The following is a 15374-nucleotide window of genomic DNA, read 5'->3' on the forward strand; positions in this document are numbered from 1 at the left end:
GTTAGAACTGCATGGTGATGGCCGACCAGAACCAGGTGTGGGTTGGCTCGGAAGACTCCGTCATCTACATCATCAACGTCCACAGCATGTCCTGCAACAAGCAGCTCACAGCCCACTGCTCCAGTGTCACGGATTTGATTGTGCAGGACGGACAGGAGGCACCCAGGTGCAGTAAGCTCTGCTGGGGAGAAGGGACTGTTTGGCTTGTGGGTGGGCAGAAGGCACAGCGGGTAGGGTTCCCAAGTCTTGTGCCCACAGGGGCCAGGCGGGGCGTACAGAGTGAAGTGGATCTAGAACGAGGAAAGCTGGGTGGTGTCCTCGGTCTGCTTCTGCTCACGGGTGCGGAGAACCCATGACACCAGTGTGGGCCAAGCGTGGTGATGAAGGCACCACACCCGGCCTTCCTGCTGAGCTTGCTGTGGGCACTGTGGCATGGGGCAGCCCCGAGAGGGCACAGCCTCCCAGAGGTGCACCAGCCATGGTGTCAGAAGCCTGGACTCGCCTGATAATCGCCTGAGTGCTCAGTGTTGGCCTTGGGCTGCCTGTTCGCTGCTGTTTCCCACAGTGGGAGCAGCACTGGACACGGGGCATCCAGGGAGACGGGAGGAGGAGGTGGGGTCTCCTTGAGCAGAGGCTCATGGTGGGGAAAGTGCACAAGGCTGCCCACTTGGTCCAGGCAGCCCCAGCCCTGGGTGAGGGGCCACACTCCCCACTCCTTTTTCCCCTGACTTAGTGTCGGGGGCGCCTGTGTCAGGCCCTGTTGGGGTGGGTAGGGAGGTGCTAGTCTGGAAGCAAAGCTGGCTCAGGAGGTTCAGGGGTGGCGCAGGGTGCAGGCTCGAGCCCAGCCCCGCCCACAGCCGCCTGCACCTGCAGCCAGCCCATGTCACCCGAGAGCTCTGAGGATCGTGCTGGCTCCCTGGTCCCTTGTGTGAACGGGGACCGCTGACGAGGTTCCATTTCAGTTCATGGTCATGTCATGGCTCTATGACAACACCTCATTGAGCCTGCGGCCCGCGGTGGTGGGAGAGGTGGGCGTCCCGAGAAACCCGCCTTTTCCTGCCGAGTCAGTTACATTTGAGCCAAGCCTGGCTGTGGCTGCATTCATAGCATGTTTGCATGTTATTATCATGTTTGCAGGTTACGTTTGCAGGTTATTATGTTTGCATGTTATTATCATGTTTGCAGGTTATCCGTGTTGAGCACATTTTCTCTCATGGCGACTTGGTTCTCTCTTGGGTTAAAATGTGCACAGTGTTTTCAGGGGCCCAAGTTAAAGGTGTGTGTGTGTGTTTTGTGCCCCCAGCAACGTGTACTCGTGCAGCATGGACGGCATGGTGCTGGTGTGGAATGTGAGCACACTGCAGGTGACCAGCCGCTTCCAGCTGCCGCGAGGTGGCCTGACGTCCATCAGACTGCACGGCGGCCGCCTGTGGTGCTGTAAGTCCGGCCCCTGCCATCAGAGCGGGCACCCTACCTCCCTGCTCTGGGAAAAGGATGCTGAACGAGAGCAGAAAGCCTCTTTCCTTTGCTTCACGCCTTTCCAGTCTTTATTTTAAACTCGGGTTCCCTTTCTGTGGTCGCAGCAACCTTTACTCCACCTGCACTGCTGCTCCTGGGGGCTCCCCAGGCCTCCCTCTGCCTTTCTACCCAGCGGCTGACGGGATGCCTGTCTTGCCTGGACGCACCACTGCTCTCCTGTCCCTCACCTTGGCTTTTGCTGTGCCCTGCTCTGGGGTTGAAGCTGGCCCATGTGTCCCCCGGAGTCATGGCTGCTCCTCCTGGGAGGCCTCTGTGTGCGTCACGTCTCCACACCTGGGGGCAGCTGGCGAGCCCGTGCTCTGTTCCCCTCGGCTGCTTGGCACAGAGCTGCAGCCTGGGACTCTCCGTGGACCCAGACTGGGGATTTTGCCAGGGGGGCGATGGGAGGAGCAGGTGCTTTGCCTGGCGGCTGTGTCTGCATTTCTGGACGCCCCAGAGCACAGAAGTTGCCGGCACTTTGAGGTCTTCCTCGGCATGTGCCAGATTACATGAGTGACGGCTGGGAATATGTTTTCTTTTTTGTAATGGAGGCGTGTTTCACATATAGTAAAGCTCACCAAAAAGTGCTCAGTTTGTTGTGTTTTGACAAACATCTAAACTACATAACCATGAAACAAATCAAGACACGCAGCGTTTCCGTCACAGCTGAAAGCGTCTGTGCCCCTTTCCAGGCCGTGCCGCCATTCAGGGGATACAAGTGCTCTTAGTTCTGTCATCTGAATTTGGTTTTTACAGAACTTTCTACAAATGGACTCTACAGTAGGCCTTCTTCTGTATCTGGCTTTATTCAGACAGCAGGATGTTTATAGTATTCATCGCTGACGTTCTGAGTATCAATATCAATAGCTCGTTCCTTCTTGCAGGGTAATAGTCCATTGTGTGCATATGGAACATGCTCATCCTTCCCCTGCCCCAAGTGGGCACTGGGTTCACTCTGCTTAACTGTTTGAAAAACCGTCAGACTGTTTTCTGAAGTGGCGGCAGCAGCTTCCACGCCACCCGCAGTCTCAGGCTTCATTTCTTCACATCCTCACCCAAACTGGTTCTCACCTGTTTTTACTGACACCGTCCCCGCGGGAGTGAAGTGGCGTCTTGTGGTTTGGATCTGTGGCTCCCTCATGGCTGATGGTGCTGAGCACTCTGTCGTGTGCCCGGTGCCCGCTGACGCCTCCCTGGGAGCAGCGCCTGTGCAGGCCCCTGCCCACTGTTCCGCTCACTTTCAGGGCCGGTAGCGACGTGGTTGGGTGCAAGCCAACGGTTGTCCTTCTTCCCCTCATCTGTTATTTGTTCTGTTCTTCCTTTCTTGCCCTCTTTTGTATTGAATATTTTTATGTTCAATTTAATCTTCTTTACTGTTTTTAAGCATTATATTTTTGTTTTATTTTTCAGTGGTTGCTCTAAGAATTGCAATATGCAACCTTAACCGATCACCCTCCTCCTTAACTAACTATGATACTGCTTCATGGATAGGGTAAGAAGCTTACAACAGTATCAAGTGTGGTACTCCCAATAATACATTCTTTAAGATTTTTGCTTAAGCAGTCAATGATCTTTCAAGAAAGTTAAGAAAAATTAAGAAACTGCCCATATATTTACGTTTTCTGGTGAGCCTCATTTCTTCTTAAAGACCCAGGGTTCTAGCTTGCATTTTTTCCCAGTAGACCTCACCTGTGCATTCCTCAGGCGCCAGGTGGCACGTGGTGATCCCCCCCATCACCACGCTGGAAAGAGCAGTGAGGCCGGCTCTGGTGCTGGCGTCTTATGTTGCCAATGACACTGCCTGGCCCCATCCTAGCTCCTTCCTTCCACAGGCACAGGTAACAGCATCATGGTCATGAAAATGAATGGATCCCTCCATCAAGAATTGAAGATTGAGGAGAACTTCAAAGACACCAGTACCTCCTTCCTGGCCTTCCAGCTCCTTCCTGAGGTATCCCAGCAGGGGCTGTGGGCCCAGCATGTGCGTGGCCCGGGGCCCATAGCCCACACCGTGCCCTGCGTTTCAGGAGGAGCAGCTGTGGGCGGCCTGTGCAGGACGCAGCGAGGTTTACATCTGGAGCCTGAAGGACCTGGCCCAGCCCCCGCAGAGGGTGCCCCTCGAGGACTGCTCTGAGATCAACTGCATGATCCGGGTGAAGAAGCAGGTAGGGTGGAGGGCCCGCCATCCCCAGCATCCCCGGCAGGTCTCGCTTGCCCTGGCCGCATCCCCATGCTCCCGAGAGCCAGCCGCACGCCCTCGTGCCCTCCTGCCTTCGCCTCTCAGGGTTCCCCTCCTAACAGGCACGTGCAGGGTTGGTGCCAACGGGCCCACAGGTCACCATGTGCTGGTTTCATGGTGTGGTCCAAGCACTCCACAGCGCATTCCCCCAAACTGGATGGCTTCAAATGACAGAACTTAATTTTCTCACAGTTCTCGACGCTGGAGGTCCAAAACCAAGGTGTCGGCAGAGCCGCTTCCCTCGGGGGCTCGGGGGGAGCGTGCACTCCAGGCCCTTCTCTCCCCCACCCGCTCATGTGGCCGCCGTCCTTGGCGTGCCCTGGCTGTGGACGTGGCACTCTAACCTGTGCCTGCACCACATGGCACTCTCTCTCCCTGTGTGTGTCTCTTATGGGGATGCTGGTCGTACTGGATTAACCAGTGTGACCACATCTGAACTATCTGCAGACTCTACTTCCAAAGAAGCTCACATTCTGAGGTTCAGAGGATATGGATTTGGGGGGACACTGTTCAACCCATTACAGTCTGCCCTCTGGCCCCCTAAATCCACATCTGTTCCACATGCAAAATACACCCCCTCCATCACTACATCCCCCGAAGTCCCAGTCCCTCCAGTGTCAGTTCTGAGCCCCAAATCTCCAAGTGAAGCCAAAGCCCTCCGATGTGGGTGAGCCGTGGGCGGGTCCCACCTGGGGCAGAACCAACCCCTCTTGCACCGTGAACCTGCGCAGCTAGAACAGGCTGTCTCTTCCCAAAACACAAGGCTGGGCCAGGCAGAGGTTAGACATTCTCATCCGAAAAGGGAGAAATTGGAAGGAAAGCTGGACTTCCAGGCCCCGAGCAAGTCGGAGACACGGCGGGGGTGGGGCGGAATTCGTTTAGTGTTTTCCCCCATAACTTAATTGGGGTATAATTGATGAATAAAAATTATATATATCTAAGGTATACAAGGTGATATTTCAGTATACATTGTGAAATAATCACAAGCTAATTACCATATCTGTCACCTCACACAGGTGGCTGTTGTTTGGTGAGAACACTTAAGATGCACCCCAGCACTTTTCCAGCACGCAGTGCAGTCTTCTTCCCCAGAGGCCCCTCGGCCATTAGGTTCTAAGCCCGAGAAGGGTCCTGTGCACCTGCCAGGCGGCCCTGACCCTCAGGCGGCAGAGGCCCTGTCCAGGAAGGACATAGATTTGGAGGCACACGCGTCAATTCTGGGTAGCCGGGCAAAGCCCTGGTGCTCTTGGGAGGGGCTTCTTTCCCTGCTGACCCCTCCCGTTTCTCCCTGGCAGGTCTGGGTGGGCAGCCGAGGGCTGGGGCAGGGAACACCCAAGGGGAAAATCTACGTGATTGACGCCGAGAGGAAGACCGTGGAGAAGGAGCTGGTGGCGCACATGGACACCGTGAGGACGCTGTGCTCGGCTGAGGACAGATACGTGCTGAGTGGGTCGGGCAGGGAGGAGGGGAAAGTCGCCATTTGGAAAGGCGAATAAACGTGGCTGAGTCTGCCAAGTGGAACTGTGCCCTATGTGTGGGGACTGGCTGCCCCCTAGAGCCTGCCAGGAGCAGAAGCCTGGAGGGGTGGCAGGGCAGAGCAGCCCAGGCTCAGCATGGAGCCCACTTACCGTGTGGCCAGCCGCGAGACCCATGGCCACGCACCTTCTCTCAGGCCTTCGGGCCCCCTGGTTAAACTGCACCAAGGGTGTTTCCTGTTGGGGTGTGTCTCAGGCAGGCAGCTGCGTCTTGTTGGTGATAACCTCTGCTGGGAGGTTACTTTGTTGCCTAGAAAGTTCTGGAATCCACAACCAGGGGCTGGCACTGGAGCCAGCAGCTTGGCCGAGTCACAGGTGACCCGTGGCCCTCACGTCTCTGGTTTTACCTTTCCTTACTTCATTCATTCACTCACCCAGTCCTTACGAATCACCGAGGAACACTGGGCTGAGCACATGACAGGGAGCCTGGAGCCCCGGGGCCTCCAGCGAGGCCTGAGAAGGGTGGTTCGGGTAACCACTGTGGGCTCTCTCCCATCACAGAAGGTGGACAGGGCCTACCCAGGTGGAGGGGACCACCCTGCGATCAGGTGTTTGCGACAGGGGTTGGGCCAGCTGAGGCAAGCTGTCTTTTTTCCCTTTTCTTTTTAATAGATGCAACATTTTTATAATAATCCTAGAGACCTTTTTTCTACCAAAGATCACAGACCAGAAAAAGTTCCATCTAAAATATCATGCCCAGGAAAGCACATGGGATCAAAAGTAAAATAGCATCATGTGTGATCTCGTCTTCCAGCGTGCCGCTCAGTTCCCCGAATCCGTGTGCACACGTGTGATCTCGTCTTCAGTGTGCCGCTCAGTTCCCTGAATCCGTGTGCACACTGCGTATGTGTACGCGCAGCATGCTATACTGAACTCAACAAGATCTTGGCTGTACATAAATATTTGTAAAAGAGACCCTTTGCACCTTTTTACTGTAATGTTGAGACTTCATTACTTAAATGTTCTACGGAAGGTTCTGGTGTGGTTGTTGGAGCCGGAGGGAGCGTGTCAGCACGTGCTGAGGGCATGGGGCCTGCCCCCTGGGCACCCATCCACAAGCTGGGCCACGGAGCTCCAGCTTCTCAGGACAAAGCCCCGGGGCTGGCGCATCCTGAGGGTCTCTGGGGGTGTTTGCCAGGCTCCTGGGATGGGCCGCTTTCAGAAGCCCTGCAGTGCCTCCAGATGGAAAGGCGGGCCCGGCCTCCGGTTGGGTCTGCATTTTGGAGAGTCCACACCACGGACCAGGTTTTCCCCCAAGGCTTGGCTTTGTGTAGCTACTAACTTCTTGGGGCATTCTGAGAGTGTGGGCAGAGAGAATTATGTGGCCTCATCCTCCCCCAAGGCTGTGCTTGCAGCCCGGGCACCTTCCCACTTTCTAGCTCTGGAGAGGTTGGATTTTGCTTTTGTAAACACATGAATCCTTATGATAAAAGTCTGTCAGTCAAAAATACATTTATAAATTATTTAATGCCAGTCCTCATGTAACCTCAGGTATCTTCAGCTTGTGGAGAATAAATCTGGTTTAATAAACACTGATGTCCGGCTCCTTACTTCATCCAACAGTGACGGGGGGAAGGTCTTGAAAATGACCCGGGACCATTCTGAACGTGCTCCTTCCTCACTCTAGGCACCGGTCACGTTACCTTAATGCAGACTCTTCATGTCTTTTCTCCATGGTGATAATTTCAAGATCTTACTTGACAGTGATTGATTGATTGCGTTTTAGGAAATGGTCACTCATATAAAAGAGAAAACAGGTGAACAGAGGTGCTAACCAGGGAGTAAATGTGCTGGGCAGGCCTGGGTTCCATGTTTATTCTGTGTTATGCAAACAGAATCCTGGCCAGTGGAGTTTATTGAAATGGAAAGGGCACTTTGATGCCTTCGATTTTTTCCCCTGTGCTTTGGAGAGATTCCATTAGGAATGATTTGTCATGGAAAGGCCCCAAATGAGCTGGAATTCATTCAACAGACTGTGATGCCATCCCTGCCTCGGCTTTAGAAACCTGAATTAAATTGGTGCAAAAAAGTATTTCTCTTGAACCAGAAACCGGTATATTTTAAGAGAATTTCAGTTCTCCTGCAGTATTTCAAACAACAGAAAAGCAAGCTTGCTTTAGGGAGCTGGCACTGTTCACAACGCCAACCAAAAGCTTACCCCCAAGTCCCCATCACTGATGCAGAGGTTGTGAAGACAATCGCCTGGTAACATTTCTATGATTTGTTCTTGGAAGATGTGTCTACCTCAGCTGTTTTCAAAGGACAGCCCTTAGCACTGGATGTGACTGTAACATCTGAATTAACAGTGCATGAATTTTGTCTGCTGCTTGAGGATTCCTTGCACAGATGAAGGGGTGCTTTCTCCGCATGCCTGAGGAGGGCATGGTTGGAGAGTGTGGCAGGGTTGCCTCACTGTCTCTGCTGCCCGCAGCTGTTTGCATGTCTTGGAGCAATACTGTGCCATCCCCCAGAAGGTGAGGCAGAGGCTCACAGACACAGAGCTGGTTTCTGTCACCCGCGTTGCTGCTGCTGAGCTGCAGTGTGAGCCGAGGCGTGCACAGGACTCGGGGGAGCTCTGCAGTTACCTGCCCTGGAATCTTGGCGGATTCTGAGAGACACAGCCTGGGGTCACGGGCACGGCAGACGCACTGGGGCCGGACGGGAGCCTGATCCAGGCCTAGCTGCACATCTGGCCACAAGCCCTGAACCCCCCGTAAAACGGGGGTGGCTCCTTCTTGCAGGGCCCACGTGGAGACCGACAGGGGCACACTGAACACCCAGTCTGTTGCTGGGCTCCCAGGAACACCTCAAAGAATGCTCCATCCTGGCCTGTGTGCTGGGCCCGTGAGAACATTAAGGAAGGAGAAATGAGAATGTGATGGCTCCCGTTGCGGGTTGAATGGCGCCCTCAAAAACGTATGTCCATGTCCTAACCGCCGGGACCTGTGAATCTGACCTATTTAGATAAAGGGTCTTTGTAGATGTCATTAAGGATCTGAAGATGAGCCCCTCCTGGATTCTGGGTGGGCCCTAAATCCAATGACAAATGTCCTGAGGAGGAGAGGAAAAGATACATGGGGACAGGCCACGTGAAGACAGAGGCAGAGGCAGGAGCGACGCAGCCACAAGCCCAGGATCCTGGAGCCACAGGGAGCTGGAAGAGGCCAGGACGCTTCTTACCCCGAGCCCTCAGAGGGGGTGTGGCCCTGCCGGCACCTGGATCTCAGACTTCTGGCCTCCAGAACGGTGAGAAAATAAATGTCGGGTGCATGACCCCCCACCGCCACATCTGGTTTGTGGTGTTTGTTCTGGCAGCCACAGGAAACTCTTCCAGCTCCTGTTTGTTGCCTGTGTGTTGCCCGTGTGCTCCGGTCAGGTGCTGTGCCAGGCGCTTTAGGGGCACTGTTGTGTATGATCCTCAGGACCCCGTGGCATGGAAAGGATCATCCCCATTTTACACCCAGGATACTTTGGCCCCAGTACTAAGAGCAAAGTGGAGGTTGCGGGCATACCTCACTGCCAAGGAGGCAGGGCTGGGCTTGGAGACGCCCTCAGAAGCTGCTTTTGCCCTGACGTGCCGCCTTTCTTTCCGCTAGTGCTCTCACCGTTAACAAGGCACTGGGAGCGGGGCTGAAGCTGGCGGTCCTGAGATGTGTCAGCAGCAGCTCCCGGCCCATTCAGGGAGGATCCTGGGATGAGGGAGAGGGTAAACTCACCTTCACTTTGGTGGTGGAGGAGAGTAAGTCTCACTAGCTCTGCATCTTTCCCTGAGGGTCAAGGGAGCATATTCTGCAGCTCTAGGTGCTGGGCCAGCAAACCACTGCTGCCGTTCTGCTGGGTCTAATGGTGGTCATCCAGGGCTAGGGGCTGAGGCCATGTGTGCAGAGGTTGACAGCAGGCTCAAAGGAGATGGAGTAGGACAATGGTGCAGTTAGTGGAGTCCAAGCATCACTGACACCCCCACAGGGATGGCTACAAAATGAAATATTAAAAAAGATTCACCAAAAAGACAGGAAAGCAGTGATAGATGAATAAAAAGCCAGATGTGACAGGTAGAAAATAAGTAGCAAGATGGTAGACTTCAACCTCACCATACTGATAATTATGTTCAGTGTAAATGGATGCAACACTCCGACTAAAAGGCAGAGGTTGTCAAACTAGGTCTAAAAGGAAACCCAACTATAAGTTGTCTACAAGTGACTCACTTTAAATATAAAAACACAAATGAGATAAGAGTAGAAGCATGAAAAAAGTTTTAGGCTGGATGTGGTGGCTCACACCTATAATCCTAGCACTTTGGGAAGCTGAGGCAGGAGGATCACTTGAGCCCAGGAATTCGGGACCAGCCTGGGCAACACAGTGAGACCCCCATCGCTATAAAAACATTAACAAATTAGCTGGATGTGGTGGTGCGGACCTGTAGGCCCAGCTACTCACGGGGCTGAGGTGGGAGGATCGCTTGAGCCTGGGAGGTCAATGCTACAGTGAACTGTGCTCATGTCACTGCACTCGGCCTGGGTGACAGAGTGAGACCCTGTCTGAAAACAAAGAAAAAGTTTTACTATGCCAACAGTAAGTATTAAAAAGCTGGTATGGTTATATTGCTATCAGACAAAACATACTTCATGGTATACTACAAGAACCAAACAGAAAAAGCATAATAATAAGGTCAATTCATCAAGAAGATGAATTAACTAATAATAGAGATTTAAGAGAGATGAAGCAAGCACGGTAGAACTATAGGAGAAAACAGACAAAATCCACAATCATAGAGATTTTAACACTCTTCTCTCAGAAAATGATAGAAAAAGTAAACAAAAATTAGCAAGGATATAGATTTAACAACACTGTCAACCAGCCTGACCTGACATAGAACACTACAGCCAACAACAGCAGAATATCCATTCTTGTCACGTGCACATGGAATGTTCATCAAGCTGGATCACATGCTGGGCTATAAAATAAATTTCAAGATTTAAATATTACAGACTGTGTTCTCTGACCACACAGACATGGAATGGCATATCAACAGTGGTAATACGCCTAACAATCTCAAAATTATGTTGGGAAATTAAACAACATACTTCAAAATAACCCAATCAGTCAAAAAAGAAACACAAAGGAAATTAGAAAATATTTTGAACTGAATGATAGTGAAAACACAATGTATCCGAATGTATGGGATGCAGGCCACGCATGGTGGTGCATGCCTATAATCCTAGCACTTTGGGAGGCCAAGGCAGGAGGATCCCTTGAGCCCAGGAGTTCGAGACCAGCCATAGGGAGATGCTATCTCTTCATTTTTAAAGAAAATTAAAAACCAAAATGTATGAGATGTAGCTAAGAACAATTATAACTTTAAATGCCTCTATTAGCAGAAAGGTTTCAAATCAGCTATCTAAATTTTAATCATAAGAACATAGAAAAATAAAAGCATGTTTAAATAAAATAAGTAAAGGAAGGTAATAATAAAGACCAAAACTCAATGAAAGGGAAAACAATCAGCAAAGCCAAAAGTTCGTTCTCTAATTGATAACCCCTATCAAGACTGATCAAGAAAAACACACACATGCACGAATTTCATTCCAGTATCAGGAATGAAGTGAGATACAAATCTTACATACATCACAAGGATATTATGAATAACTAGTTTAAAATATGCAAATTTCTTAAAGATAACTTTATGAAACCAACACAAGGAGGAGTAAAATCTGAGGAGTCTTAAGTCTATACAGGAAATTGGTTTGTAGTCAAAAATCTCCCAGAAAGAAGAAATCTCCCAGAAAGACGAGATCTCTAGACTCAATTGCTTTCACTAGTTAATTCTAACAAACTCTTAAGTATGGCATAATAGAATTTACAGAAACCCTTTCAGAAGAATAGAAGAGGAGAGAACCCTTCCAAACTCATTTTAGGAGACCAGCATGAACCTATAGTTGACAAAGATCTTACAGGAAAATAAAATTATGGATCAATCTCCATCAGAAACATAGATGCAAAATTCCTGGGGTATCTACCAAGAGGAAAATCAGTCATGATATGAAAAAGTCACTTGCACATGCATATTTATAGCAGCACAATTCGCAATTGCAAAAATATGGAACTAGCCCAAATGCCCACCAATCAGCAAGTGGATAAAGAAAATGTGGTGTATTTACATCGTGGAATACTACTCAGCCATAAAAAAGGAATGAAATAATGGTATCCACAGCAACCTGGATGGAATTGGAGACCATTATTCTAAGTGATAGAGAACATCGTATGTTCTCACTGATATGGGGAGCTAAGCTACAAGGATGCAAAGGCATAAGAATGATACAATGGACTTTGGGTACTCGGCGGGGAAGGGTGAGAGAGGGGCAAGGGATGAAAGATTACACATTGGGTACAGTCTACACTGCTCGGGTGAAGGTACACAAAATCTCAAATCACCGCCAAGGAACTTACCCATGTAACCAAACACCACCTATTCCTTAAAAACCTAAATTAAACAACAACAACAAAAGGGCCGGGCATGCTGGCTCACGCCTGTAATCCCAGCACTTTGGGAGGCCGAGGCGGGCGGATCACGAGGTCGGGAGTTTGAGGCCAGCCTGACCAACATGGAGAAGCCCTGTCTCTACTAAAAATACAAAAACAATGAGCCAGGATTGGTGGCGCATGCCTGTAATCCCAGCTACTTGGAAGGCTGAGGCAGGAGAATTGCTTGAACCTGGGAGTCAGAGGTTGCGGTGAGCTAAGATCACGCCATTGCACTCCAGCCTGGGCAACAAGAGCGAAACTCCGTCTCAAAACAAACAAAAACAAAATAAAACAAAAAAACCACCACAGATGCAACATTCTTAAACAAAATATTAGCAGATCGAAACCAGCAATATTTTTAAAGGTTAATATATCGTGACCAAGTGGGGTTGCAAAATGCAAGGTGAATTTAACATTCAAAACTCAATCAATGTAACTTAATACATCAGTAGAACAATGGAGAAAAGCCATAACGATCATCTCAATAGATGCAGAAAAAGGGAACTTCCTCAAATTGATAAAGAGCATTTGCAAGAAACCCACAGCAAGCATCATACTTAACGGTGAAAGACTAATTGCTTTTCCCCCAAGAATGGGAACAAGGCAGGGATATTCACTTTCCCCCTTCCTGTTTTTTTTTTTTTTTTGGATTGCCAAATCCTTATTTATTTCCACCGTAGTGTGTAAGTATCTGTTTCTTTAAACTTTCTCCAACATTGTTATCAAAGTTTTAGTTTTTGTTAATCTTTATTTATTTATTTATTTATTTTTTTTATTGATCATTCTTGGGTGTTTCTCGCAGAGGGGGATTTGGCAGGGTCATAGGACAATAGTGGAGGGAAGGTCAGCAGATAAACAAGTGAACAAAGGTCTCTGGTTTTCCTAGGCAGAGGACCCTGCGGCCTTCCGCAGTGTTTGTGTACCTGGGTACTTGAGATTAGGGAGTGGTGATGACTCTTAACGAGCATGCTGCCTTCAAGCATCTGTTTAACAAAGCACATCTTGCACCGCCCTTAATCCATTTAACCCTGAGTGGACACAGCACATGTTTCAGAGAGCACAGGGTTGGGGGTAAGGTCATAGATCAACAGGATCCCAAGGCAGAAGAATTTTTCTTAGTACAGAACAAAGTGAAAAGTCTCCCATGTCTACTTCTTTCTACACAGACACGGCAACCATCCGATTTCTCAATCTTTTCCCCACCTTTCCCCCTTTTCTATTCCACAAAACCGCCATTGTCATCATGGCCCGTTCTCAATGAGCTGTTGGGTACACCTCCCAGACGGGGTGGTGGCCGGGCAGAGGGGCTCCTCACTTCCCAGCAGGGGCGGCCGGGCAGAGGCGCCCCTCACCTCCCGGACGGGGCAGCTGGCCGGGCGGGGGCTGACCCCCCACCTCCCTCGCGGACGGGGCGGCTGGCCCGGCGGGGGCTGACCCCCACCTCCCTCCCGGACGGGGCGGCTGGCCTGGCGGGGGCTGACCCCCACCTCCCTCCCGGACGGGGCGGCTGGCCGGGCGGGGGCTGACCCCCCACTTCCCTCCCGGACGGGGCGGCTGGCCTGGCGGGGGCTGACCCCCCACTCCCTCCTGGGTGGGGCAGCTGGCCGGGCGGGGGCTGACCCCCACCTCCTTCCCGGACGGGGTGGCTGCCGGGCGGAGGGTCTCCTCACTTCTCAGACGGGGTGGCTGGGCAGAGACGCTCCTCACCTCCCAGACGGGGTCGTGGCCGGGCAGAGGCGCTCCTCACATCCCAGAAGGGGTGGCGGGGCAGAGGCGCTCCCCACATCTCAGACGATGGGCGGCCGGGCAGAGACGCTCCCCACTTCCTAGATGGGATGGCGGCCGGGCAGAGACGCTCCTCACTTTCCAGACTGGGCAGCCAGGCAGAGGGGCTCCTCACATCCCAGACGATGGGCAGCCAGGCAGAGACGCTCCTCACTTCCCAGATGGGGTGGTGGCTGGGCAGAGGCTGCAATCTCGGCACTTTGGGAGGCCAAGGCAGGCGGCTGGGAGGTGGAGGTTGCAGCGAGCCGAGATCACGCCACTGCACTCCAGCCTGGGCACCATTGAGCACTGAGTGAACCAGACTCCATCTGCAATCCCGGCACCTCGGGAGGCCGAGGCTGGCGGATCACTCGCGGTCAGGAGCTGGAGACCAGCCCAGCCAACACAGCGAAACCCCGTCTCCACCAAAAAAATACGAAAACCAGTCAGGCGTGGCGGCACGCGCCTGCAATCGCAGGCACTCGGCAGGCTGAGGCAGGAGAATCAGGCAGGGAGGTTACAGTGAGCCGAGATGGCAGCAGTACAGTCCAGCCTCGGCTCGGCATCAGAGGGAGACCGTGGAAAGAGAGGGAGAGGGAGACCGTGGAGAGAGGGAGAGGGAGAGGGAGAGGGAGACCGTGGAGAGAGGGAGAGGGAGAGGGAGACCGTGGAGAGAGAGAGAGAGAGAGAGGGAGAGAGGGAGAGAGGGAGAGAGAGAGAGAGAGAGAGAGAGAGAGAGAGAGAGAGAGAGACCGTGGAGAGAGGGAGAGGGAGACCATGGAGAGAGAGAGAGAGAGAGAGGGAGAGAGAGAGAGAGAGAGAGAGAGAGAGAGAGAGAGAGGGAGAGAGGGAGAGAGGGAGAGAGGGAGAGAGGGAGAGAGAGAGAGAGAGACCGTGGAGAGAGAGAGAGAGAGAGAGAGAGAGAGAGAGGGAGAGAGGGAGAGAGGGAGAGGGAGAGGGAGAGGGGGCCCCCTTCCTGTTAACATTGTACTAGAGATTCTAGCCAGGGCAATAGGGGGAGAAAAGGGGGGGGCATAAACATTGTACTGGTTCAGCAGAACATTGAGGGGAAAAAGATGATTGTACTGGAAGAGGCAAAACAATCTTTATTAGAAGACAGCAAGGCCATTTATATAAATCCTAAAGAATCTATTTTAAAAACTAGAATATTTTTCTAGTTTTTTCTATAAGGTACTGGATACAAGGTCAATATACAATCATTGCATTACTATATTCTAACAGCAAACAACTTGTAAACTGTTAAAATACAGTAGCATAAAAAACATTCAATAGAAATAAATTTAATGAATGACGTAAAAGACTGAAAACTCAAAAACATCGCTGAGAGAAAATGTTAAAGACTGAAATAAAAGATATACCATTTTCATGGACTGGGAGATTAAATATTGTAAAGATGTTAGTTATCTCCAAATTGATCTGATAGATTCAATTTAATCCCAATCAAAATGCTAACATAATTTTTAAAAAAGAAATTGAGAATTTGATTATAACATATATGGAAATGCAAAGTAGAATATTTAAGATAACCTTCAAAAAGAAGATCAAGCCAGGTGGGATGGCTCAAGCCAGAGGACTCATATACCTTTATGCTTTGCTAAAAAACTACAATAATTAAAACGGTAGGATTTGACATAAATATAGGTAATTAAATCAATGGAACACAACGTAGGGTCTAGATGCGCAAGCATAAAGTCAGTTGACTATAAAAAACAAAAATTCCAAGACAATTCGGTAATGAAAGTCTGTTCAGCAAATGGTGCTGCAATGACTGGATA

General features: G+C 50.9%; 1 protein-coding gene and 1 long non-coding RNA gene across 27 annotated transcripts in view, besides 2 other annotated features; one reads left to right on the forward strand and one right to left on the reverse strand.

Annotated features, from left to right (window-relative positions):
* DENND3 (DENN domain containing 3) overlaps positions 1-6824 on the forward strand; it is a 67216-nt gene extending 60392 nt beyond the window's left edge. For 8 of the 24 annotated variants that reach the window (NR_148197.3, NM_001352890.3, XM_005250841.5 and 5 more), the window contains 5 exons: positions 6-166; positions 1304-1437; positions 3351-3469; positions 3546-3683; positions 5053-6824. Coding sequence is in view for 23 of the 24 variants with exons in the window: in NM_001352890.3 (NP_001339819.2) it covers positions 6-166; positions 1304-1437; positions 3351-3469; positions 3546-3683; positions 5053-5253 (753 nt within the window). In the remaining variant the exon portion in view is untranslated. Of the gene's footprint in view, positions 1-5; positions 167-1303; positions 1438-2928; positions 3011-3350; positions 3470-3545 lie in introns of those variants that run through there. The other 16 variants (XM_005250840.6, XM_005250842.5, XM_047421594.1 and 13 more) reach the window with 6 other exon arrangements.
* Positions 3145-3645: an enhancer, noted in NCBI's record as "H3K4me1 hESC enhancer chr8:142202224-142202724 (GRCh37/hg19 assembly coordinates)". NCBI's record gives its function as "activates a minimal SCP1, AML or CMV promoter by ChIP-STARR-seq in primed H9 embryonic stem cells {active_cell/tissue: H9 hESC(primed)}" and the evidence as "EXISTENCE:reporter gene assay evidence [ECO:0000049][PMID:30033119]".
* Positions 3646-4146: an enhancer, noted in NCBI's record as "H3K4me1 hESC enhancer chr8:142202725-142203225 (GRCh37/hg19 assembly coordinates)". NCBI's record gives its function as "activates a minimal SCP1, AML or CMV promoter by ChIP-STARR-seq in primed H9 embryonic stem cells {active_cell/tissue: H9 hESC(primed)}" and the evidence as "EXISTENCE:reporter gene assay evidence [ECO:0000049][PMID:30033119]".
* Positions 6825-9008: 2184 nt separating the features above from the next.
* LOC105375785 (uncharacterized) lies at positions 9009-14379 on the reverse strand. 3 transcript variants are annotated; one of them, XR_007061124.1, is made up of 4 exons: positions 13522-14379; positions 10157-10246; positions 9730-9830; positions 9009-9264 (listed from the first exon to the last, which is right to left on the reverse strand). It is a non-coding gene; the product is annotated as an uncharacterized LOC105375785 (long non-coding RNA). The 3 variants fall into 3 exon arrangements; XR_007061123.1 differs by having other exon boundaries at positions 9730-10246; XR_001746124.3 differs by lacking the exons at positions 9730-9830; positions 13522-14379 and having other exon boundaries at positions 10157-11401.
* Between the last annotated feature and the right edge of the window lie 995 nt (positions 14380-15374).

Source organism: Homo sapiens, chromosome 8, assembly GCF_000001405.40.
Source record: "Homo sapiens chromosome 8, GRCh38.p14 Primary Assembly".
In the NCBI taxonomy this organism is placed as follows: domain Eukaryota; kingdom Metazoa; phylum Chordata; class Mammalia; order Primates; family Hominidae; genus Homo; species Homo sapiens.